At 40.6% G+C, this 24,530-nt stretch overlaps 1 protein-coding gene, 1 long non-coding RNA gene and 1 pseudogene across 5 annotated transcripts in view, besides 6 other annotated features; 1 reads left to right on the forward strand and 2 right to left on the reverse strand.

Moving 5' to 3' along the window:
- The window catches only part of MID2 (midline 2), a 105,903-nt gene extending 92,329 nt beyond the window's left edge, over positions 1 to 13,574 (forward strand). For all 4 annotated transcript variants that reach the window (NM_001382751.1, NM_001382752.1, NM_012216.4 and 1 more), the window contains exons 8-10: positions 6,280 to 6,441; positions 8,031 to 8,238; positions 8,608 to 13,574. In NM_001382751.1, coding sequence (NP_001369680.1) covers positions 6,280 to 6,441; positions 8,031 to 8,238; positions 8,608 to 9,010 — 773 coding nt within the window. In that variant the 3' untranslated portion in view covers positions 9,011 to 13,574. The remainder of the gene's footprint in view (positions 1 to 6,279; positions 6,442 to 8,030; positions 8,239 to 8,607) is intronic.
- Positions 1 to 17,917, reverse strand: part of LOC101928335 (uncharacterized) — a 41,384-nt gene extending 23,467 nt beyond the window's left edge. The window contains exons 1-3 of the long non-coding RNA NR_110395.1: positions 17,729 to 17,917; positions 16,572 to 16,617; positions 14,967 to 15,057 (exon numbers count right to left, since the gene is read on the reverse strand). This is a non-coding gene — a long non-coding RNA (uncharacterized LOC101928335). The remainder of the gene's footprint in view (positions 1 to 14,966; positions 15,058 to 16,571; positions 16,618 to 17,728) is intronic.
- Positions 835 to 1,335: an enhancer, noted in NCBI's record as "H3K4me1 hESC enhancer chrX:107162128-107162628 (GRCh37/hg19 assembly coordinates)". NCBI's record gives its function as "activates a minimal SCP1, AML or CMV promoter by ChIP-STARR-seq in naive H9 embryonic stem cells {active_cell/tissue: H9 hESC(naive)}" and the evidence as "EXISTENCE:reporter gene assay evidence [ECO:0000049][PMID:30033119]".
- Positions 1,336 to 1,836: an enhancer, noted in NCBI's record as "H3K4me1 hESC enhancer chrX:107162629-107163129 (GRCh37/hg19 assembly coordinates)". NCBI's record gives its function as "activates a minimal SCP1, AML or CMV promoter by ChIP-STARR-seq in naive H9 embryonic stem cells {active_cell/tissue: H9 hESC(naive)}" and the evidence as "EXISTENCE:reporter gene assay evidence [ECO:0000049][PMID:30033119]".
- Positions 16,934 to 18,133: an enhancer, noted in NCBI's record as "P300/CBP strongly-dependent group 1 enhancer chrX:107178227-107179426 (GRCh37/hg19 assembly coordinates)". NCBI's record gives its function as "activates an origin of replication core promoter dependent on BRD2, BRD4, P300/CBP, MED14 and CDK7 cofactors, with strong dependence on P300/CBP, by STARR-seq in HCT116 cells {active_cell/tissue: HCT116}" and the evidence as "EXISTENCE:reporter gene assay evidence [ECO:0000049][PMID:35650434]".
- Positions 16,934 to 18,204: a biological region, named in NCBI's record as "P300/CBP strongly-dependent group 1 enhancer GRCh37_chrX:107178227-107179426".
- Positions 17,500 to 18,204: an enhancer, noted in NCBI's record as "H3K27ac-H3K4me1 hESC enhancer chrX:107178793-107179497 (GRCh37/hg19 assembly coordinates)". NCBI's record gives its function as "activates a minimal SCP1, AML or CMV promoter by ChIP-STARR-seq in naive and primed H9 embryonic stem cells {active_cell/tissue: H9 hESC(naive and primed)}" and the evidence as "EXISTENCE:reporter gene assay evidence [ECO:0000049][PMID:30033119]".
- Positions 18,205 to 18,908: an enhancer, noted in NCBI's record as "H3K27ac-H3K4me1 hESC enhancer chrX:107179498-107180201 (GRCh37/hg19 assembly coordinates)". NCBI's record gives its function as "activates a minimal SCP1, AML or CMV promoter by ChIP-STARR-seq in primed H9 embryonic stem cells {active_cell/tissue: H9 hESC(primed)}" and the evidence as "EXISTENCE:reporter gene assay evidence [ECO:0000049][PMID:30033119]".
- On the reverse strand, positions 20,244 to 21,594 carry TMEM230P1 (TMEM230 pseudogene 1; annotated as a pseudogene).

Raw genomic sequence — 24,530 nt, forward strand, 5'->3', positions numbered from 1 at the left:
CTTTTCCTTTACCAAACCTACCTCTATCAGTGAATATGGTGACAAGCCTCCTGCCTCTGTCACTCTTCCCTTTACTTCTTCCTTTCCACCAAGAATTATGCTAAATATGAAAACATGTCAGTGGGCCACAAAATGAAAAAGGTTAACAAAGCTGTTGTTTAGCTCACATGTTACGGTTTCACTTTCTGGTGAATTGGAGCAAGACAAAACAGAGTAGGAACTTCACTCATGCCAGTCAAGAGGGGATGAGCTGAAAGTTCCCCTCAATGCCCTGGGTGCAGTGAGGGCTGGGGTGAGGGATGGTGGAAATGGAAACAAAAGCAAAATTAAAGCTGGATTCAAGACTGGAACAGATTCCCAACCTAAAATAACATCTCCATAGCTGCAAATTAGTATTTTCTTTTACTTTTTTGTTCCTGCTTTTGTGTCTGACTTCACAGGCCAGCATGAGAGTAGTTTTTCCAACTAACCCCTTCAAATAGGCTTCCTTTTCCTGTTTTGTGACAAATCTGGGGCAGAATTCTGTTTTGTAACAAGGTGGGGTGGGGAGATGAGAGGACATTTGGGGATCAAACTCTAAAAAACATTTGCTTCGTGCAGCTCCAACCTAAACCACTTGGCCCATGTAACTATGTTCCTGGGTGTTTCTTCAGATTGTGAAGTCACAAACTCTAATGCTTCACTGATTTATTTGTCTCTCCTACTCTGGAAAGTCTTAGCGCCAACAACTGTGCTTCTTTTTCCTGATATGGGGAAAGCAGTCATCTCCCAGGAATTAAGAAGAAGTCTGAGAAGTGACAAAGATCTAAAGGTTGTCACCTCTGTTTTCAAGGTTATATAGTCCTTTGTAAAGAAAAGCTTAAAGGATAATTCTTAACAGTGATAGGATCATAGCATCTTAGAATTGGAATGGAGCTTAGAAGTCATCTAGTCTAATCTTCTTCCCTTCTACCAGACACCCAGTAGATAATCATCCTGTCTCTGCTTGAACATTTCCAGTGATAGGTACCTCACTTCTAACAAAACAACCCATTTGATTGTTGTGCAGCTATAAATAATGGCCAGTGCTTCCTTATAAGGGGCTTAACTCTTCCTTTTAGTAAATAATAACAACAATAATAATTTACATGTGTATTATGCTTTGCCATTTACAAATGCTCCCACATACATTATCTCATTTAGTCCTTATGGGTGCTTACTTAGCCTTATAAAATGTTATTAACTCTACTTTATAGATGAAGAAACTGGGGCTCAGGTTGAGTGAGTTGCCCAAAGTCACAGAGCTACGAAATGAGGGAGTCAAGGTTGCAGCTTGAGCCTGTCAGACTTCAAGTTTAATGCTCCTTAAAGTAAACCACAGCAACCAATTAGTCCTAGTTCTGAACTTTTGTGCCTCACTAACAAACCTAATCCATCTTTCACATAACAGTTCTTCAGATAATTTTAGTTAGTTCCTATGTCCTTCTAAATTTTCTCTTTTCCAGGCTAGGCATCTTCCTTTCTTTCAATTGCTCTTCATATGGCATAGTTTCAGATCTTTTGTTATCCTAGTATCATTTTTAAGAACACACTCCTGATTATCACTGTGCTTTATAAAATGTTCTGTCAATGAAGTGAATGTAGTACTCCCAAAGTGGTCTGAGCACTGCAGAGGATAGCTGGATTATTTCTCTTGTACATTAGCTGATTCCCAATTGCCCTGTACCTTTTTTTTCAGCAGCCACTTTGACTACTGACTGTTTACTGAGCATATGATCAACTGAATTTTCTATGTATTCCAAATCCTGTTCTTATACAATTGAATGTCTAAAACAAAAATACAAAGCCTTGAATTTATCCCTAGTACATTTTATCTGGTTAGTTCTGCCACTTCATTTCAGCATGCTAAAATCCTTTGGGATACAGATTCTACCTTCAAATATACTTGCTTACCCTCACAGCCTGCCTTCTATTTCTTCCTCTAGTTATTGATAGAAAATTTTGTTAGAACAAGGACAAGGGCAGAGGCCTGAAGCAAAATTTTGGATGGCAATGAGAAACTATTTTACTAGGAATAAGTATTTTTGAAGATTCAGGATCCCAATCCTACCTGCCGGTCTGGCCTGCCACAGTTGACTGAACCTCCGTTCTGAGAGCTACTTTCCTTTGACGTTTTTTCACATTTTCTTTATCCAGAAATTTCATGCTTGTTGGTGAGGATTATTCCCCCTTCACCTTTTCTTTCAACTTTATTTCCTGATTTTTAACTTTCTTCCCACCTCTTCTAAGATTTGAAATGATCACAACCAATGATGTTTCAGATTATGCTGTGAGGTGAATGAGAATTCCAACAGATATTTGAGTGTGTTTGTCTTCTGATTACTTTATTATCTTTCCTCCGTTTGAATTTTGTGTTTTGCATTACAAAAGCATTAGCCGTAAACTCTGCCTAGCCAGGCGGACCATAACATACTACCAGAAAGACATAACTTCTATTTCCCTTCCTTTTCATTCTCATGCAAATACTCTCTACCACACATTTACACTCAGGTTCAGGGATTTCCATATTGTAATTTTTCCCTTTTGAACAAGAGGTATACTTCCACTGACATAATTCAATCATAAGTCCCATCTTACTAAATCTCAGTAATACCTAGAGGATCATATATTTACCTTTTTAAATTTAGAAATGATTTCAAAATCACAGAAAACTTTCCAAGACTAGCACAAAGAACACCCATATATTCTTTACCCAAATTCACCTACTGTTAATATTTGTCCCATTTCCTTTAGCATTTGCTAACATTCCCTGTTCTTTTGGAACCATTTTAGAGCAAATTGCATACATCATGGTCTTTCACCTCTGAATTCTTCAGTGTATATTTCCTAAGAATAAGGAAATTCTCTTACATAACCACAGTATAGTTACCAACTTGAAGAAATTTAACGTTGATGCAATACTTTTATCTAACCACCATTTATATTTCAATTTTTGACATTTGACCAAATAATATTCTTTATGACATATAAAGAACCCAATATTGTCCTTTATAGTTTAGGGTCAGGTATTACATTTAATTGTCGTATCTCTTTTGCCATATCTCTTTTAATCTGGAACATTTCTTCAGCCTTTCTTTGTCTTGAACAACATTGACATTTTTTAAAAAGTGTTCTTTTATGTCTTTATTATACTTCATTATACTGTTCCTTATTTTGATTTTTTCTGAAGTTTTCTCATGATTATATTTAGCAGTACAGTTCTTTCTTAGGGTATAATATCTGGAGACACATGATGTCCACTTGCCCTTCACTGATGATGCTAATTTTGATCACCTAGTCAAGATGTCGTCTGATTTATTCACTGTAGTTGCTACTTTTTCTTTTGCCACTAATAAGGAATCTGTGTGGTATGTTTTAAAACCATAAAAATACCCTGCTGCTTCATCAAACCATCTCATCCCTACCCCCACCCTTGTTTTATTATCAGTTGATGATACTTGCCTGAATCAATCATTAATATGATGATTGCAAAATGATGATTTTTCCAGTTGAGTATTCCCTCCCACATTTTCAAGTTGGCACTTGGCATTCTACTATAAGCAAGAGTTCCACTCCCCATTTCCTCCCATTTGTTTATATATCAGTATGGGCTGATGAATTATCTTTTTTCAATTGTTAATAATTATTTACAGCCCTTACTTGTGTTGGTGTTCAAATTGTCAAGATTTAGCCATTGGGAGCCTTTCAAGGTGATTTCTGGGTCCTTATAATATTCCCCCATCATTTTCTTGAGCACTTCCTTACTTTCTGGCATAACAAAATGTTCTAGGCTCATTTTGACCTTATTCTGTCCCAGCCTTGAAATCAGTCATTATTTTCCAAGAAACCCTGGTTTCTTTTAGTGGGACAATATTAGAGACCAAGACCTGAGTGCTAGATATGCTAGATATAAACACAAATATCCATACATGTAAGCATATGCACACATATATAATAACACATGCATACATACTTTATATATGTGCATATTTATGTGCACATACACAAACATATATATATTTTAGAAATCATGAGTTTACACCAATACCTTAAATTCCAGTCCATCCCCACAGGTTCCTTCCTGCCTTTCTCCATTCTGTATTTGTATGTTCCTTCTTCCACAGTATGAACCCTGGCTCCCAACATCAACACATGTACTCATTTGCTCAATCCCATAATACATCTAAAATAGTTTCTGAATTGCTCTGTCCACGCCACAACAAAAACAAACTGGCTAACAATACTTCAGGATTTGTTTGAGGTTTTCCTCCCACCCCCACTACATTGATGTAATTATGCTGTTCGTCTGAAATGCAGTTGGGTTTGTTTCAGTTTGCCTTCAGCTTTAGTCCCCAATTTTCCCATCTGTATTCATTTAATTTTATTTTTTTGAATTTGTAAAACAATGTGTTTCCCAAAGAGGATGCTATACAAAAAGGTACATTCAGAGAAATGTCATTTCCTCCCACATCCTTTTAATCCTGTTCCTCCACCCCCTACCCCTTGTGGATAACCAACTTCATGAATTTTTTATTTATCTTTCCTGTTTTTATTGTTGTTGCTTTGTAAATCCAAGCAAATATATGGATGTTTTCTTATTTTTCTTTCTCTCAAAAAAGTAGTGTACTGCATATATACTACATATACATATATACTTTTGGAATTTGCTTTTTTCAATTGACAATATTTCCTTGAAATCACTCTATATCAGTTCATAGTGATCTTTTCCTCATTTTTTTCACAGCTGCATAGTACTTCATTGTGAAGTTTGTCTTTGTATTGTTGGGTGTGTATCTGGAGATTATATGTTTTCCTCTTTGTATTAAAATCTTATGTGCAGCTTGTGATTCATACTGTGTATTGGTAACATAGGCAAGGCCTCAAACATTGCTCCTACCCTTTTAATCCATATTGTCTTTTCATTAGAATCACTGGGCACCTCCACCAATTCTTCCTCCTCTTTCTCCTGCATATCTGTTTGCCCTCCATCGTTTCTTTTACTAGTTTTAACTTAGGCTCTTCAACTTCCTCTCAGATTAATTATAAGCCCTTTGATCAGATCTCTTGCAAAACATTCATGACTTATTATTTTCAATTTTCAACCTCACTAAATTTTGTACTAGAGTTGCATAGAAATGACTGAATTCACTGCTTATATTCCTCGCCTTTCCCTTTCTACCCTCTAGTAGAACTGTGGCTAAAAAGTGGTAAACTAACTGAAAAGCAGATAACAGTAGAAAGAAGTCTAAATAATCTGCAGACTAGAATGTTGGTTTTTCTTTTACCGAAAGCTTGCCAAATACATGTTTTAATTATTTACATTTCCCCTGTTTAAGTTAATATTTGCAGTCTAAAATATATCAAAAGCAGAAGCCTAGTTCTCTGATCCCTTTCCCTACTTGGAAGGGAGGAAGATTCCAGATAACAATGTGCTCCTGGACCACTCAACCCAAAATGAACATGGGAATCACACAACAGAATGTGTTGTGTAATAGTGGGGAGATGATATCTTGCTTTGGTTATCATGTCATCTCTTTGGCTTCCCTACGGTACTGTGGAGACCGGCTAGTTTGGGAAGTAAGGGTAAGGATGGAGTAGGAGAGTGGAATTGTAAGCCCTGAGAGCCTCACTACCTTGCAGAGACAAAAGAACATTGTTGTTCACCCCATGAACTGTGATGTAGTAGAGAGAACACTGGGCTACCATTTTAAAAATACCAGGGTTCTATTCTCAGCACCATCACTGACTATCTGTGGCCTTGGGCAGGTCACTTTTCTTCTCTCAATCCTAGTTTCCCATTTGTAAAATAAGGGAAATACAGTATCTATGTGTCCCTTTGGCTGAGTTTCCATGTTTCCCTGCTCTGCACAGGATTGCTCCATCCATACAAGACCAAACTCAGCTCTCAGAGGAGTGGACGTTTGGAGTAAATATCCAGAGACTCCATAAGAGTGATGATTCCGTGACTCTGTATAGTAGCCATTCCTGTGTTATCTGGGAAAGAAATTGAAATAACCTAACTTATGCTAGTAGTTCCATTCAATTGCCACAAGCAAGGAGCCTGGCCTAAGCCTAGTTCTATGGGAGTAATGAAATAGTGGAATCATAAGCCCTGGTTCATCTCATTACATCTTCTAAGACTCAAAAGAAAACAAAATGAATTCACTTTTGAGGGGGTGGCTTATGATGAATTTTCAGTGTGTTTTTCATTCTGTCTCTCTTACCTGCTGGTTAATGTCCTTGTCTTTCCCCATGTTACAGGCCTGTATAATTCAGTAGACAGCTGGATGATTGTTCCCAACATTAAACAGAACCATTACACAGTGCATGGACTCCAGAGCGGGACTCGCTACATCTTCATCGTTAAAGCCATAAACCAAGCCGGCAGCCGGAACAGTGAACCTACCCGACTAAAAACAAACAGTACGTTGTGGTGATTTCAAAAGGAAAGATCAATTTTCTTCTCCATGCCAGGGGAGTACACAGCCTGAGCAGGCACTCACAGCAGTGCATGGGGAGCAGTGGTACTGGGTAGAGGAGCTATACTGTTGTAGTTTGTACTTTGGGCAAGGAGTTTGTTGGTGCCCATGGGAGATTTGTGGACTCAGAGATATGCACAAAAAGACTGTTAGCTTGGGAGGATGTTAGTGAAGAGTTTTCTCTGTACTCCACCCCTTATATTTGGGGGACAATTGCATAAAAGAGCATTATTTGTGATAATCTAGTAAAATCTTACTACAGAGAAGCCATATCTGTTAGGAATGCTTTTGACAGCAAATAACAAAAAGTGCAACTAACATAGCTTAACAAATAGCGTTTGTTAATTGTTTAAATGAATAGTATATATTTTATCTCTCACACATACACATAGGAAGAAGTTTGAAGGTAGGCAGTTCAGGGCTAATGCAGCTGCTCTGCGATGTCATAAAAGATGCAGGCTCCTTCTCCCTGTGTGCATTGGCTTCTTGCCACATGGCTGCAAGATGGCCACTGCAACTTTCAGATGTCATATTACCTCTCAAGATAGGAAAGAGGAAAGAGTTGGTACACATAATGGTTATCCCTTTTATCTGGAAATCCAAAACTTTCCTAGAACTTTCCCCTGCTCTGTCTGACTTCTGCTTCCATCTGCTTCCATGTTCTTAGCCGCCCCTAGCAGTAAGGGAGGCTGGAAGATTGAGTATTTAGCTTTTCCGGCCTCTATAGTGAAAGTGAGTAAGAGAGAAAAAGTTGGGAAAGGGTAATGTGTTAGCCAACAGTGTCTGTCACAGAAGCATTCTGTATAAAAATCTCTTGCCACACCCAGCAACTGGTCCCTCAGTAACAATGCCTTTGTCATATGGTTATAAAGAATTATCTGTTGTGAATGATCCTACACAATAAATGTTTTCTCTGATCATTGATGATGCAACAGTCACTCTAACAAAATTGCCTAATTATATGTTATTTACATCCCAATTGTAAGAGGGCAAAAATAATTGTTCAGTTGCTGAGTTCTCAGGGTTTTCCGGTTCTGCCATCAAGCAGCAATTACATCAATTCCCCTCACCTCAGACATCATAACACTCTTTCTGTTAAAATCTACCCAAATCCCAAACAACCCACTGAAATTAAGCAAAGTACAAAACATATTTGAGAACATGAAACTTTGAGCACTCCCTTTTACTTTGATAATATATGATGTGGGGGACAGCTTATTAGCTCCTCTTTGCTTGGAATATGACTTCCCTCAAATTGCTTTTAGGAGAGATCCACATTTTTTCCCACAGTGGGAAAATAAACGCCGTTATGAAGGTCGTTTTATGGGAGATTGGCCTTTATTCTTATTTTATTGAAAACTCTGGTTTCTGGCCTGTTTTCTTAATAAAATTTAAACAGCAGCCAACTTGCACTGGACCAAGAGTGATCATGTTATCGAGCATACCCTGCCAGTGATGATGCTGGTGGAAAAGGTAGAATTTTAAGATACTTCATAGTGCTTTTTCTTTTTTTTTTTTCTACTTATTTTTCAGGCCAACCCTTTAAATTGGATCCCAAAATGACTCACAAGAAGTTGAAGATCTCCAATGATGGATTGCAGATGGAGAAGGATGAAAGCTCTCTAAAGAAGAGCCACACCCCAGAGAGGTTTAGTGGCACAGGGTGCTATGGGGCAGCAGGAAATATATTCATTGACAGTGGCTGCCACTATTGGGAGGTGGTCATGGGTTCCTCAACATGGTGAGTGGATCCCATTTTCCTTTTCTTTTCTGTCCTCTGTCATTAGGTTCCTAGGAGATTCAATTCTATAGCACAACCATAATACCAATAAGTCAAGGTTAAAAGGTATGTGATGAAAACCACTCCTAGAAAAATTTGCCAGCTTTTTAATAAAATAATGGAAAATATACTGGGCTAGGAGATGGAAACTGCCACATTGCTCTAATTGCTAACTTTTTAAAGCTCTAGTGATATCAGCATTATGCATCTAAGTGTAAACTATTTAAGGAATAAACATATATCCTATTTGTTATATATCATATATGGTGTCTTACACAACTCAGATAATTCATAAATGTTTATTTCTCTCTCCTTTCCACTGTCTCACAGGTATGCAATTGGCATTGCCTACAAATCAGCTCCAAAGAATGAATGGATTGGCAAGAATGCCTCCTCATGGGTCTTCTCTCGCTGCAATAGTAACTTCGTGGTGAGACACAACAACAAGGAAATGCTGGTGGATGTGCCCCCACACCTGAAGCGTCTGGGTGTCCTCCTGGATTATGACAACAATATGCTGTCTTTCTATGACCCAGCTAACTCTCTCCATCTTCATACTTTTGATGTGACCTTCATTCTTCCAGTTTGTCCAACATTTACAATCTGGAACAAATCCCTAATGATCCTGTCTGGCTTGCCTGCCCCAGATTTTATTGATTACCCTGAGCGGCAGGAATGCAACTGCAGGCCTCAAGAATCCCCTTATGTTTCTGGGATGAAAACCTGTCATTAAGTTTCAGGAGAGTATATAATTCACTGGCTCTCTAGTTCAGCAGTTCTTCCCCTCCTACACCTAAGTTAGCGTTCAATATACGAGACACAAAATAAAGTTTGTTTGAAGCATCCAAAATAACTAGATATTGCAGATTTAATTTTTGTGCATTAAAGCTTGTATTTGAATTAATTTATTGAGTTTTTCAGAACAAATTATCTGAGTAGTCTGCGTTCAAGCCATTGGAGAAAAATTTAGAAAATGCCTCTGTTGTCATTGGAGAATTAAAAATTCCCAATGATTTAAGAATATAAATTATATTGGAAGCAATTAGGGTAATTCTAGTTAAATAATGTGGAAAGGTGCCCTGAATAAGGAGCTAGCAAGCCAGAGCGGGGGGTGGTCAGCCTTTCTAGTACTGGCCAGTTTGGCCATGTAGAATTTTGAACAGTGTCAAATTATCACATATTATATTTTACTTTTGATGAAAACCTATCATCAAGGGTTTGTTAGGAAACCATGAATGTGTATATGTAATATATAAAGTGAACATATATGTACTTTATATATATTCACTTGTGTATGTATGTTTATGCATATTCACTTTATATATTACATATACACAAAAAACTTTTTTTTCCAAACACCACCTCGAACTAGAACAAAAAACTTTTTAATTTGCTAATTTGAGTGAGAAATATACTGGAAGGGAAAATAAGTTACACCATCCATTTTTGTCCCCTAAAGGAAACATCAAAATCAATCAACATTTATTTCCTCCCTCTATCCATCATTGCCTTCCTCCCTCCTGTCACGCACACATACACATGCAACCATGACACAGATAATGGGAAGAGCTTTATTGGATTAGCAGAGATTTACAGACAAGATTGCACAAGAGATGCTGTTGCTGGATAGAAAATTGATCAGGTAGAAGTGATGCTACCTACTTGAGGATGGCCATCTGAATTGTTAAAAATTCTGTCATAGACTATTAAAAAAAAAGTTTTACTACTCCCAAGTACACACAGTTATGAGAATTAGGCTTTTAAAAAGTTGCACAGTGAAGGCTCTTTAGGAACCTACTTTACTTAATCAGTAAAAATTGAGTATTATTGATGCACCAACTATTCCCATATAAATGTACTTGCTTTTTCAGATAAAACACTTCTGAAGTGCTCAAGAATGTCTGAAAACAGTTTGTTTTCTTAAATAGGATAAATAATCATTCCTTTTGCAATCTTGTTTACAGTATTCATTCTCTTAGCCAATCCCTCCACGCAAATGGAGACAAACTTCATCCCAGTCCTAACCAGTATAGTTGAAGGGAATGGAGCCTTGTAGTCTATGATTTTTTTTTTTAAATTTCCATCGAAGGGATTGGGGATGTCAGAGAGCCAGAGCTTTCCCCTTTCCAGGAGCTAAGTTGGCTTCGGAAGTCTTCTGGGATTTGTGAAAATATTACTGTTGTAAAATTACAAAGTGGTAGCCATAACAACTCCCTCAGATTGGAGACTTGAAATGTCAAAACTCCCCTCTTCCTTTCCCCTAGTTTGGTGGATGCTCATTTATTAATTCATTCAATAAACTATTAGATGCCAGGTACCAAACTACTGCCATGGGAGTGCACATATTAACAAAATGCTCTACCTGCTGCCAAATGGCTTACTATTCTGTGGAAGAAACAAAGTATATAATCCTCCCCAATAACAGTTATGTATTGTTTGTTCACTTAATGTGGAAGGCAAGACTGATGCAGACACACAAGGAAGGCTCAAAAATATAAATCTAGCAGCAATGTCATCTTTTTTGATTTTAAATACCATATGTGCTTACTGCTAATCAGGAAATGAACAACCTCAGTAAAATTCATCAGTGCTGGTAAATAGTTTGCTGTAGTGGAAAGCTCATAACCTTTGGATTCAAATGATCCTAGTTTCTGTACCATTTATTAGCGTTGTGACCTAGGACAAGTACCTCACTTCTCTGAGCCTGTTTCCTCCTCTGTAAAATAATGTCTACTTCACAAGGCTGTTTCAAAGGTTAAAAAAGATAGCATATGTAAACTGTCTTAGCTCAGCGCTTGACATTTCCTAAGTGTGCCATAAATATTAATCTCTTTCCTTACTCCCAGCTCCAATACAGCGTAACAGTGCTTTAAAATGTATGTCCTTCATTTCTCCTTCATTTCTCAGTCACCTTTGTCTCTTCCCTAGGGCATATCCCCAAATTCTTAAACAAAAAAAAATGATTTTTTTCCCCTTCATCAAACTTTTCACTGGCTCCCTTAGCACCCAGTAGAAGGTCCCAACTCCTTACAGAGTCTGGGTTTTCATGTCCCTGTTTGCTTACACAGCTTAATCTTTTGCCACTTTCCCCCTCACATTGATTAAGGTAGCCAAGTTTAACTATTTACACAACTATTCACACAAGTTATTCTCTGGGCCTGCAGCAGAAACATGATTAACAATTTTAATGCCCAGAGTAAACAACAGAAATTTTTCTTAAATTAAAGGAATAGTGTGAAAATGCTGTAAGTACAGAAAATGCAACCTCCATTCCAGTAGAACAATTTCCTTTGCCTTGTCCTTGGCTCTCCAAAACTGTTCATTTATTGTGGTGTCTTTTAGATTTTAGTGCCCTGGGACAAAGATCTAATTTCCCCACCCTACTTTTGACTCTATCCTGGACTACCTTTCCTCACCTCTATCTCTCTCAACCAGACTAACTCTTTATTCCTTAGACTTGATGATGCATCCCTCTTTAGAGATCCAAAGACACCCCAAGCATCCCCCTCTCTCAGCAATAATCACATTGTATAGCAGTGTTTTTCAAAGTGTGGTCCTCACACCGCCTGTGTTAGAATCACCTTTAGTGTTTGTTAAAAGAATTGATTTTGGGTTCCCACTCCTGACCTAACCAGAATATCTGAGAACATAGGCAGGAATTTACATTTTTGACAAGCTCCTCATGATTCTGATGCACCAAAAATTTTAATGAATAATCATCTTCCCTACTAGACTGAACACCTTGAGAGGAAGGACTGTGTCTTTTATTGTTGTTATATTGTTAATACCTGGCACAGTGCTTGGAACATTAGCTTGGCTAATGTTTATTGAATGAATGTATGAATGAAAAAATGCATTATGAAAGTTTCCTCTTGTACTCTCATGTTCGTAGTGATGTTTGTTACTTCCTGGGCAGAAAAGCTTGGTTACTACTCCATTTGAGCTGTATTAATTCTATTTTGCAGAGATATCAAGGCTCCTACATAATAAATGATCATTGTCCTCCTCAAAAACTCTTTGGCAGTTATCTTGGGGAAATGTCTTTGGAGCATATGGCACCATTGTTTTCAGTAACATTTCAGTCTTGTCAAACTTTGTTGTTTGAAGGTGGATTTACATTTCGGTTATAGCCAAAAATCACTCAAAGCTAAGCCTACTTAAAAAAGTGGGGAATTAAACTGGGTTTGGAGTAAGCAATGAAGTTTGACTCTGAAGTCCCAAATTCTGAGTCAAACAGTGAAAAATGACTTCTAAGATACAACATGGTGACAAAGTACTTAGTGGGGGTGCGATGGGCCCCAGATATTTACTTCAGTTAACTTGGCTTTTATAGAATCCTGGCAATGCCATGGACCTTAAGAGAAGTAATTGGCTACCTCTAGCTAAACCCAGCTGGACAAAGAGAATAGGACTTGTATTTAACATTTTCAAAGAAGGTGACTGCATAAGCTTTTGTTGTTGTTGCTCTACTCAACCTGTTCTCCACAACTGTTTCTACCAGAAGATTATTTTATGTCTGCAATTTATGCTTGTTTCCACTTTTTATATTGTCTTATTGAAGAAAGCACAAAAATAATCAAAAATAAAGTAAAACCTGTTTTGAGAGTATGAAAGAAATTTTAATGCCACATTGAGGTTCTGGCTACTTGTAAGTAAGAGTAACTGCATCTGGATGTGTTTTTATTATACAATTCTATGTGTATCTTTAGATGCAGTGAAATTCAGATTGCAGCAAAATCACTTATCTGTTCTTTTCGGCTAAAACACTCTAGGTGAATTTTCTAAACTTCCATGGTTTACATATTTATATATGACTACCAAGATGGAGCAATCCACGGATGGACTTTTGAATAAACTCAAATATTTGATACTGCTTCCTCCAAGGAATGGAGAGTGTCAGGCAGGTAGGTAAGAACCACTCCTACACTTATTTCTAGCTCCTGAAGCCAACTGCAGCCTTGGAGCCAATGGCTGTATTTGGCTGTGTGTTACAGGTTGGCCAAACTGATTGCCATCAGGTCAGACAAAACTGCCTTTTATGGTGTAGTCTGCCAGCTTCAGACATATGCTGTATTGTTGTTATTGGCTAGACTATTTATTAGACTATTGTTGGACTATTTTTTATCAAATGCTTTACCCCACGCCTGTTTGTATTGGGAGCTCTGGACCAATAGTGTCTCTCCTAGTGACAGAAATATGAGCATCTGTGGATTACACAGCCTCATCCCTCTCTACAATATTCCAGCCCATCCAAAATGCTATATTATGAATTAAATAAATATATATGTATTCATGAATTCTTTGTTGTCTCTCGCTGGAGTTGAATTGGGGGAGGACTAAAAGGAAGATGGCCGTGGATTCTCCTGGAATTGGGTAAGTGACTAGGGGAAACCAAGGATCATATAATAGGTAGTGATCTGGACAGAAAGGACCCAGGGGGTCTGGAGCTCAAAATCCAATCAAGAAGACTTTGATTTCAGGAGCATGATATGGTCAAGAAGACCAAAGAAATGAAGATATAGGGTTCAAGGAAACATGACACATTCAGTTTTAGAGATTGGAGCAGAAGTTGAGAATTAAAGAACAAATAAAATCCCAGTGCTGGAACCCATTGATTAAGATTAGGGTAGCACCAGAAGCAAGTGAGCTGACTTACTGTTAAAACAGCTGGCCTGCAGGAGGAGACTGGGAGGAAGCCAGGAGGTCCCTCAGGGCTAGAATTGGGCATATCTTAATCAGATTTGTAGTGGCACTAAGACTAAAAGGGATCATGCGATATGAAGTGAATGAAGCAGGGCAGTCAAGGGCGGCAGCTAGAGAAGTGACTTGAAACAGGTCATCAGACCAGGGGCCTATAAGAACTACAGCCCAAAGGTAAAAGGAGTAAAATTCAAAGGAGAAAAGAATTTGGAACATTGTGTGTTTAGTGGTTTAATTGAAGAACAACCTAGGCAAATACCAAATATGAGGCTATTACCCATAGCTAAAATTTTAATATTTTGTGTGTGTGTGTGTGATGATGTTTGGAAAGGCCATCTCCATTTAATGTGCGAGGACAGGGCAGATATGGGATTCTTTATGTTTCCCCATCTGAGAATAGAATTGGTCCCAGAGTTTCAGTGAATCTGAGCCTGTATTTGGGAGGGAGGTGGTCTCAGTTATGATGGTTAGGAGTAACAGAGACCAAATAGGTTGTTACAAGCTTATTAGAAATGTATATAGCATGACAGCTAATGAGAATGACTCTCCTCCACCATGAATTTCCAGGAATGGAGGATCAAGGTGGTTTTCCTATACTGTTGGGCACAATACACAAATTACAATTGCGACTGATCTCGTCGGGTCATTCAAGAGCAGTTCTTAACCACTAGTTATGTTCCTAGTACTCTTCTCATTTCTGTGGTGGGATATTAAGATGAAAAATATTCCTAACATTTATAATGGAGTACCCAATTCAATACTGCTTCTCAGATAGTTTTACATCTATGAACTCAATGAGTTAATAGTGGTAGCTGACAAAGGGAGCATTTATAGAGACACTGGAGTGCAAGTGGAAGCTCTTACCAAGATCTAGCATGGAGACTTGTACATAGTAGGTGCTTAGTAAATGCTGGTTGAATAGAATTAGAATCTGATAAGCAGAATGACAAGTAGTCCACCTCATACATTGTGAAGTTGGGTGAACTCACCAGCACCAGGTGTATAATCCCTCTCAGGCACATATTCCTGGTCCAGGATTCCTATGACTGCTTCTTTCCATTGTTCTTTAAGGCCAGGCTCCTTCAAAGGGAACAATTAAAAGAATTAATAAATTAGCCACCAATAATGTGCTAATGGAGGAATGTGGGCAAAATTCACACAGAAAACAAGACATTGTTTCTCAGAAAACAAGAAATGTTAACAAGAACCTTCTAGGGAAAATGTTTTTGTGTCTGACTTGGGACTGACAAGTTGGGGAGGGCAAGCATCAGACTTTCCAGTTTAGAAGGGTCAGCTGACAATGCCCTGGCAGGCTAAGCCCCTGCCAGGGGAAATATTTTGGACCAAGAGGACTCTTTCAAAGGGGATATAGATGAGAACTGAGTCTCACTTAGCACAATGCCTGTGATCCTTCTAGAGCACAAGGGCTGGCCTTGCACACAGAATACGAAGAGGATCTGTTGCTCTTCCAGGCAGATTAAAAGTCCCAGAAAATGGAATTTGGGCTGATTTTCCCTTTGATGTATAGTGATAAGAAAAAGCTACTATGGTCAACAGCTCTTTGTTCGACTTAACTCCCTCAGTGGTAAGAGAGGGTCATGAGATAGCCAAAAATGTGAAATTCACAGTAAGCAGCTGTCAAGCACATATGGCAAGTCCAAGTCCAAGTCCAAGTCCAAGGCCTGACTGATTTAGTAGGTAAAGATACAAGGAATCACTTTTAAATTCAAACAGTTTATTATTTACACAGTGAAAGAAAAAGCAGTCAAAGATTCCAGCCCCAAATGGTCCTTGTCCCAAACAACAAAAAGGATGACACTGAAACAAAAAGGACCAGAAGACTTCCAAGTGAGTTGTGGGATACCTCACTGCTAAGAAGCCAATTATAGACTGCACTTAAGTGGCTTTATAGTCTGTAGCTCTATTCTGAGGGAAGTGGTTCAGGAAGTCTTGTACCTCATCAGAACCTGGGAGGTGGGAGGCTATGAAAATCTGTCTCATGAAACTTGCCAAGGGACATAAGGAGGCAAGTGGGAGATGATCTTGAAGCAGCTCCTCTCAGGCCTCCCATCCTTTGTGCTCTGGAAGGATCACAGGCATTCTACCAAGACTCAGATTAGCTGTGGTTCAAGTCTTTGCTCGAGGGACCATTGTAGATATTGCCAGGTGACTAGGGTGCCAGGGTAGAGCCATTCTCATGCAGAGACTAGCTGAAGGTCCAGGTAAATTCCTCAGGGCAAAGCAAAAGGAAGTAAAGTCAGGGTCTTTTGAAGTACCTCTTCTCTTCTTCCCTTCTGCTGACCTTCCATTCATGTCCTTTCATTCTTCTCAGTATTTTGGGAGTTGGGGGTGGGGATGGGGCAGAGATTAAATGCATAATTAGGATATAAAATAAATTCAGTCTCTGAAAGATTCAGTACCAAGGCCAGAGAATTCCAAGGCCTGGGTCCTTCGCCATCTCTGGCACTTAGTTTTTCAACTAGGAATTAAAGAGTATGGGTAATTTCTAAGGTCCCTTCTAGCCCTAACAGTATGAATTACCATAAATGCAAATTTAGTGAAGGTAGTGATAGGAGCTTGATGTGCATACCTACCCCAAGAATGTTGGGACATCAGGGCAGATCATCAGAAATCCTACGACTGGGACAGAGAAGTGGATGACATTACTGTTACTTTAGGACCATCATCAGAATCCCTTTTGGGGTGACTATCCTTCCCCATACACACTTCACTTCACTTGGACCTCCCTTGCCAATCCGCTGCTACCATTACTTTTGAGCTTTCTGCTTCAGCCCTCTCCCCCATCCTGCTTGATAACTGTACAAAATGCAAATACTGTTTTAGCTAGTGGCGTCTCTGTTTCAAATTTCAGGTCAGTCATCTGAGAGTCTTCAATGTGTACATGCAGGGAATTGCCAAAGATATTCTACTTTCCAAGGGCAGAGTAGGTCACTTGATACAGCAACTAACAGGGGTCCTGTGTGCCACCTTCTCCAATTATGATCTTCCCAATCCAAACTCCCACAGATACATCCCTTAAAAGGCAAAGGAGAGAGTCCTGGTACAGCCACCACTCCAAGTTATTATTCCGCCATTCATTTATTCACTCATTCAACAAATATTTTACTGATAGTCTGTTTGTGGCAGGTGCTGGAGCTCAGTGATGAATAAGACACATAATCCCTGCCCTCATGAGACTCATAATCTAGAGAGAAGACAGAGTATCAACGAATGAAGACTTTTTGAATTATAGGCGCTATCATTTATTGGTTGCTTACAGTGTGCCTGGCACTATGCCAAGCACTCGAGATGCAGTGATTCATTCAATCCTCCCAGGAATCCTATGAGGTAAAGACTATTATTGGCTCCCTCGAACATGAAGAGTTAATCATTCCATGCGCCCATGCCCAGGCCTGCAGATTCCTACATGCCTGGTGAGCTGCTAGCAAGGGTCTTAGCCATGGCTGCTTTGGGTACGAGGTAAAGTTTAAGGCCCAGCACTGAGGAAACAAATGACCCAGTGCAGCAGCTCCTGAAGTCAGGGTTAACCGGGAAGGCCTTCCAGGTCTTTGCTAGACACCCCCAAAACTGCCCCCGAGGCGATTCTCCCATCCTCTTTTTTCTCCCCTTTCCCTCCGGCACCCCACTACCCTCCCTTTCCAGCCCAGCCCCTCCCTCTGGGCCGCCTCCTCTCTGAGTCATTTCCCCTTCTCCGCCCTAAAGACCTTGTCTTTCTCTTGGAATCCCTTACCCTCTGGCAGGAAGTAGAGGAAGAGCAAACTGGCTTTGGGAACCAGGTGAGTCCTTTCCCCAGCGAGGATGAGAAACGCCTCCCCGCAGTCCTCTGACCCCCCACGAATTCGGAAGGACGGGAAATCCTGGGAGTCCCTCCAGCCGTGTGTGGGAGGTGCCACGCCCCACCTGGTGTCTCCTGGGATGTGAGGAGGGAAGCAGTGGTCCCGTCGGACCGGCCTGTGTGGCTGCGACCGGCTCCTGCGCTGTGAGCTCAGCGCGCTGGGGAGGGACCTAGCTGCCGCGAAGCTGGGGGCGCGTGGAAGGGTCGGCTCCAGAAGCCAGCCATTGGGAGGAGAGAGGGGGAAAAGCTCCGAGCGGTGCGTGTGGAGGGTGCAAGCGCTTGCAAGTGCGTGCAAGTGGGCTGGTACGTGTGTTGAGAAGGCATGAGTGTGTATGAAGGGGTATAGAGAGGTGCGTACGTGGGGAGGCGCGCGTGTGCGGGAACGCTTGTGTGCGTGTGATGTGTGGGGGACATGCGAAGATGTGATTTACACAGGTGCGGACGTGGCAGTGTGCGAGTGGTGACATGGAGATGCTTTCGAGCGTGAAGACTCACCGAGAAGCCCGTGGGGGATGTGTGTGCGTGTGCACGTGGAGGTGTGTGTGAGGGGATATAGATTTATTAATATATATGCGTGCGCGTGGAGTGCGTGCGTGCGTGGGGGTCCGTACGTGGGGGTGCGTGCATGGGGGGGTGCGTGTGTTGGGAGTGCGTGCATGGTGGTTGCATGGGTGGTGGAGAGGGGAGAGCGGGAAGGAAGGCGGGAGCCAGGTGCATGCGCAACTGAGAGTAAAGATGGCCGAGAAGCTCTTGCTGGCAGAGCTTAAAGTTAGGATTCTTAGCCTCTTTTTGTTTTTCTTGAGGTGGGCAGTAGGATGCACATGGCACCGTTTGAAAATAAGGAAAACTATTGACCAATTGACCACCTCCTTTAAAAAAATGCCCATGGTTTGCATGTAAGCACAGAGGGTTCGTGAACCCACTGATGGTCATCTGTAGACCCTAGATTATGGTTTGAAAAGGGGAGAAGATCCAAATAAATTACGTTGATATCCGCCATTGTGTCTTTTGATTCTATGAGAGAAAAAATGGAACAGCAGCTGTCCTTGGGTTGGTGTGGCTTTGAGGCTAGGTTTGCTGCTCCTGTTGGACGTGGTGCCAGCAGAGTGGGGAGTGTAAAATGGGATCACTGCCCAGAGTAAGACTGAGGAAGGGTGCCTCGTGGCCTTCAGGATAAAGCTCGGCCCCTCCCAAGCGGATCACTAGCCACAGGTTTTGCGGGTTAGTTCCTTGATAAAGTTGGAAAGTGGAGATTTGTGTTGCTTTCTTGCGTGATTCCCGTCCCCGCCCTCCGCCCTCCGTCCCCCGCCCCGCGCCCCGGCCCTGACAGCCTGTGGGTGATGTCAGGGAGTATGAGTCTAACTAAGGTTGGGACTTCGTTGGGTAAGTGACTAGAAGGAGAGCAGCAGACTTGGGTTCTGATCCCATCTTTACGATTAACTAACTGTGTGACATTAAGCAATTTTCTTTATCTTCTTGTGCATCACTTTATTTATTTGTTTATTTATTTACTGAGACTGAGACTCGCTCTGTCACCCAGACTGGAGTGCAGTGGCACAATCTCGGCTCACTGCAGCCTACGCCTCCCAGGTTCAAGTGATTCTCCTGTTTCAGCCTCCCAAGTAGCTGGGATTACAGGCGCGCACCACCACGCCTGGCTAATTTTTGTATTTGTTGTAGAGATGGGATGGCGCCATGTTGTCTAGGCGGGTTTGGAGCTCCTGACCTTAAGCGATAGCCCTGCTTCAGCCTCCCAAAGTGCTGGGATTATAGGCGTGAGGCACTGCACCCAGCCTCACTTTCCTCATTTATAAAATGGTAGTTCACAGGGTAGTTGGAAGTTTAAATAAGACTAAATAAATTCCCAGAACATGGGAAGCCTTTAATAAATGGCTGCATACCTAGGAATAAATAATATGTGTGTATATATATATATATATATATATATATTATACACGTATATCTATATATACATTTGCAGAAAAGTTAAAGCTAAAAGTTTTATTTTGAAAGAATGTCTTAAACTACTGTTTTCTTTTGGTTTCTTGTAGGCATACCTAGTTGTGCTGTCAGCCAAAGCCCACCAAGTTCATCCTGTAAAGTCACACGCCTGAAGTAAGTGGGACTTTATTTGGAATTATTTGCAGTGTTCAAGTAGACAATTATTAGTCCACCATCAACTCTCACTTGGATTGCTGCCATGGTCTTCAAGCCTTCACATTTGCCTGCTTCCCTCTTTCGTTCTCCATGTTGCAGTCACAGTTATCTTTCCCTCTGAGAGGCAAAATAGCCTACTGGTTTGGAGCACAGACCTTGGAGTCAGAAATATCTCCTTCAGATCCCAACTGCACCCTGCTCCACCACTTTCTAGCTGTGTGATCTTTCACAAATTACTTCACTTCTTTTTGGGGGATTTCAACATTTTAATTTCTTTTTAATATAAGTCACATTTGCAAGCTAGGAAACAGATTCAACCTAAGACAATCTAGTCCTCTGGAGATCCAGGCTGAGTCTTTCGATTTTTAGCAGAATGACATCATAATATAAGGTGCTAGCAATAGAATTATAAACTCTAAATAATAACCACTTATCTACATTTTTCATTAGGAAACAACCAAAAGTCCATTACTTAAAGACATGATATACAGAACATATTGATCTACAAAAGACCCAACGACCCAAATTATATGCTGCCCAACCTACTGGTGAACTGGATTGGAACTGGCCAAGGATTGGTAAATAGAGAAAGCGTTTACATTTTAAAAACTTCCTCTGTGGTTAAAAAAATTCCTGGTTGTTATCAATAAGAAAACAAGTAAAAAATGTTACAGATGGACCCACACTGATATTTGACTTTACCAAGGTCTTCCGCCAGAACATGAAGGTAGACATAAATGTAGGAGATTAGATATTGAGATATTTTAAAAATAAATTACTTAGTAATAAGAAGTTAGACATACAGCATTATTCCATTTGCTACAAGAACAAATGGACAATGAAGATTATTTAAAAGAAATGTTCAACTCTAAGGAGGGTGGTGGGAACAACACTTTCCACTAGAGAATAACCTCCCATTTTCTCAGACAGTTAGCATTACTATTCTTCCGTAATACATATTCATATGGAAAAACTTGTCAAGAGCTTTTGCCAGGGCCAGGAGATGAAAAATAGAGCATGTTTTAATTAGCAAATTGTAAGCTCAGTTAACATTTTTTGGGATGGACCCATACAATCTGGCCATTGTTTTGTTAAACTTCTGTAAACTGCAGAATTCCTTAACCCTTAATTAGCTTTGGTTTTTGCTCAATATCCTGAAGCTGGGCACAGTCTCAATGTAACTCTTCTCCTAGGGGCTGAACTGGGTGCTAGTCATCAAAGTTTGGAATGTCATTTTAGAAGCAACCTCTAGAAGTAATCCTGGTAAGCCCTAGAAGTAATCCTTTGGATGCATAGTAGGCTCTGTGCAGGTGGTAAAATCTGGGCAGGAATACCAGAATGTCAATGATCAGGACTGGAACTGCCCAGTCTGCCCCCGCTTTGCTGATGTAGCCAGAAGGTGAGCCTATGATAATGAGAAAGGCACCAATCGAAAAAGAGCACAGTGGCAAGTGCAGTGGCCTTATAAGGGATCTTAGGAGGGCTTTTCTTAAACTGGAGGTCAGTGTAGCCATCATCTGTGCTGGAGAGCCTTGAGTATATCACTTTACTACGGAGATTCCAGCCAGGTTGATGTGGGAGGGCATCATAACACACTGACACAGCTACAGTTGGAGTGCCATGCCAGGCTGCCAGTGGCGAGACTTTGCTCACAGTTGGCAGCAGAGGCACCCAAGGCTGTGCCACCTAACTGCCACCCAGCCCACCCCAGCAAGGGCCAGTGCCCTGGAAGTCTACTTGACCTCTTTTAGAATCTGTTTCCTTATCTCTGAAAGGGGACAATGCTGATACCACCTCAAGGGTTTTGTGAGAGATTGCAGAGATAATGTATGTAATGTGGCTCACAGTAATTGCTCAATAAATGGTAGATTAAAAATGGCAAGGGCAGTGAAGTAGCCAGCAAAAAAGAGGTTGAAGTGATGCACAATGGCACCTACACTGGGTAGGGATTGAAGCCATGAGGTGATAATGAGCTGGAGAATGGGAGAAATCAAAGGATGGGAGATCTTGATGAGAATGAAAAATGTTTGGCTGTGAAATGAGTCCTTGATCAAAAATTTTTTAAAAAAGAAAGAGAATGAGGAGTGGGTATTCTGAGAACCAAGAAGTAACTGGAATAGGAGGTTGTAGCCAGAGATTAGGCTAGTAGAGTTCAGGAATTCTAAAGTGGAGCAGCTCCATGCCTAGTGGGTGGTCCAGGAAACTAACGGCTAGTAATGACATAGAAAGTGGCATGCGGTCAGAGGTTGTTGAAGTAGAGGAGCTCAAAGGGCAGTGAGGCTAGCATGTTGGATGAGTCATCCACAGACATTGATGTTGCTTACATGATGGCAGGGGTTGAAATGGAGAGGAAAATGGAGCCAGTGCCAAAGCCAAGGTCTATCCTAACTAACGGAAAGCAGTCATTTATTTCACAAATATTTACTGAACTTTTACTAGATGTCAGGACGTAACAAGACAGACAAGAATCATGCTGTCATGGAGTTTACAGTCTAACAGGAGTAATAACAGACATTAATAATCCTACCTATAAATAGAAAGCTGTAAACTGTGATAAGAGCTATGAATGGGCCAGGCGCGGTGGCCCACGCATGTAATCCCAAAACTTTGGGAGCCTGAGGCGGATGTATCACAAGGTCAGGAGTTTGAGACCAGCCTGGCCAAGATGGTGAAACTCTGTCTCTACTAAAAATACAAAAATTGCCTGGGCATGGTGGCATGTGCCTGTAATCCCAGCTACTTGGGAGGCTGAGGCAGGAGAATCGCTTGAACCCAAAAGGTGGAGGTTGCAGTGAGCCGAGATCACGCCATTGAACTCCAGCCTGGCCAACAAGAGTGAAACTCCCTCAAAAAAAAAAAAAAAAAAAAAGAGCTATGAATGAAAAATAAGGGTTCTGTAAGTGTTATAACAGAGGAACCTAACCCTGTCTGGAAAGTTAGGGGGGGCTTCCCTGAAGAAGTGAGGACTGAAAGATAAATTAGGGTAGATGAAGGTGGATGGTGGGTAGGTGGAAGACATGTTCCAGGTAGAGGAAACAGCATGTGCAAAGACCTGAAGCTAGAACATGTATAGTAATTTGAAGAACTGAAAAATATCTCCTATGACTAGAGCATATTAAGTAATACTCTAGCCATAGGAGAGTAATATGAGCTGAGGCTGGGTGGCAGGCTCCCTTAAGGATTTGGGGCTTTATACTACGAGCATTGGTAATATTTGGATGACATGATCATATTTTAAAAATAATCAGGCCAGGCATTGTGGTTTGCACCAGTAATCCTAGCACTTTGGAAGGCCAAAGTTGGTGGGTCACTTAAGCCCAGGAGTTTGAGACCAGCCTGGACAACCTGGACAAACCCCATCTTTACAAAAAGTATAAAAAATTAGCCAGGCATGGTGGCGCATGCCTGTGGTTCCAGCTACTCTGGAAGCTGAGGTGGGAGGATCACCTGAGCCTGGGGAAGTCAAGGCTGCAGTGAGCTGTGATCATGCCACTGCACTCCAGCCTGGGTGACAGAGTGAGACCCTGTCTCAAAGAAAAAAATCAAACACATAAGTATATAGGGTAAATAGTGAAAGGCCAGTTTATGTGTATGTTAGTATAGGGGAGTATGTGTGTATGTGTATGTGTATACATAAAATACACATGTATAATATGTAAACACATATAATAGATGTATACATATATAATATATAAAAATGATACATACCATTTCACCACTTTAAAGAATGTTAAATACACAATGGTTATATTTCAGTGTCCATACATAGACATCCAATTCATTCTTTTTTTAAAAAAAAAAATTTATTACTAATACAAATAGAGATGGGGTGTCACCATTTTGCCCAGGCTAATCTCAAACTCCTGGGCTCAACCAATCCTTCCTCCTCCAGCTCCCAAAGTGCTGGGATTATAGGTGTGAGCCACCAAGCCTGGCCCAACTCATTCTTAAGAGTTGCAAAGTATTCCACGTTATTAATGTATGATGACTTATTTAACTATTGCCCTATTGATGGACAATTTAAGTTGTCTCTAATTATATATTACTTTGCAGTGTGCACTGTTCACAATAGCAAAGACATGGAATCAGCCTAAATGTCCATCAATGATAGACTGGATAAAGAAAATGTGATACATATACATGATGGGATGCTATGCGGCCAAAAAAAAAGGAATGAGATCATGTCCTTTGTAGGAACATGATGCAGCTGGAGGTCATTATCCTTAGCAAATTAAGGCAGGAACAGAAAAACAAATACCGCGTGTTCACACTTAAAAGTGGGAACTAAATAATGAGACCCAATGGGCAGAAAGAGGGGAGCAAGAGACAGTGGGGACTACCTGAAGGAGAAGGGTAGGAAGAGGGAGAGGATCAGGAAAAATAACTATCAGGTACTATGCTTAGTACCTGGATAACAAAATAATCTAAACCGAACGCCTGTGACACGAGCTTACCTATATAACAAACTTGCACTGCACATGTACCCCAAACCTAAAATAAAAGTTTAACAAAATTGCAATATGCCATTCTGTAAATTTTT

This window comes from Homo sapiens, chromosome X (assembly GCF_000001405.40).
Source record: "Homo sapiens chromosome X, GRCh38.p14 Primary Assembly".
Classification (NCBI taxonomy): Eukaryota; Metazoa; Chordata; class Mammalia; order Primates; family Hominidae; genus Homo; species Homo sapiens.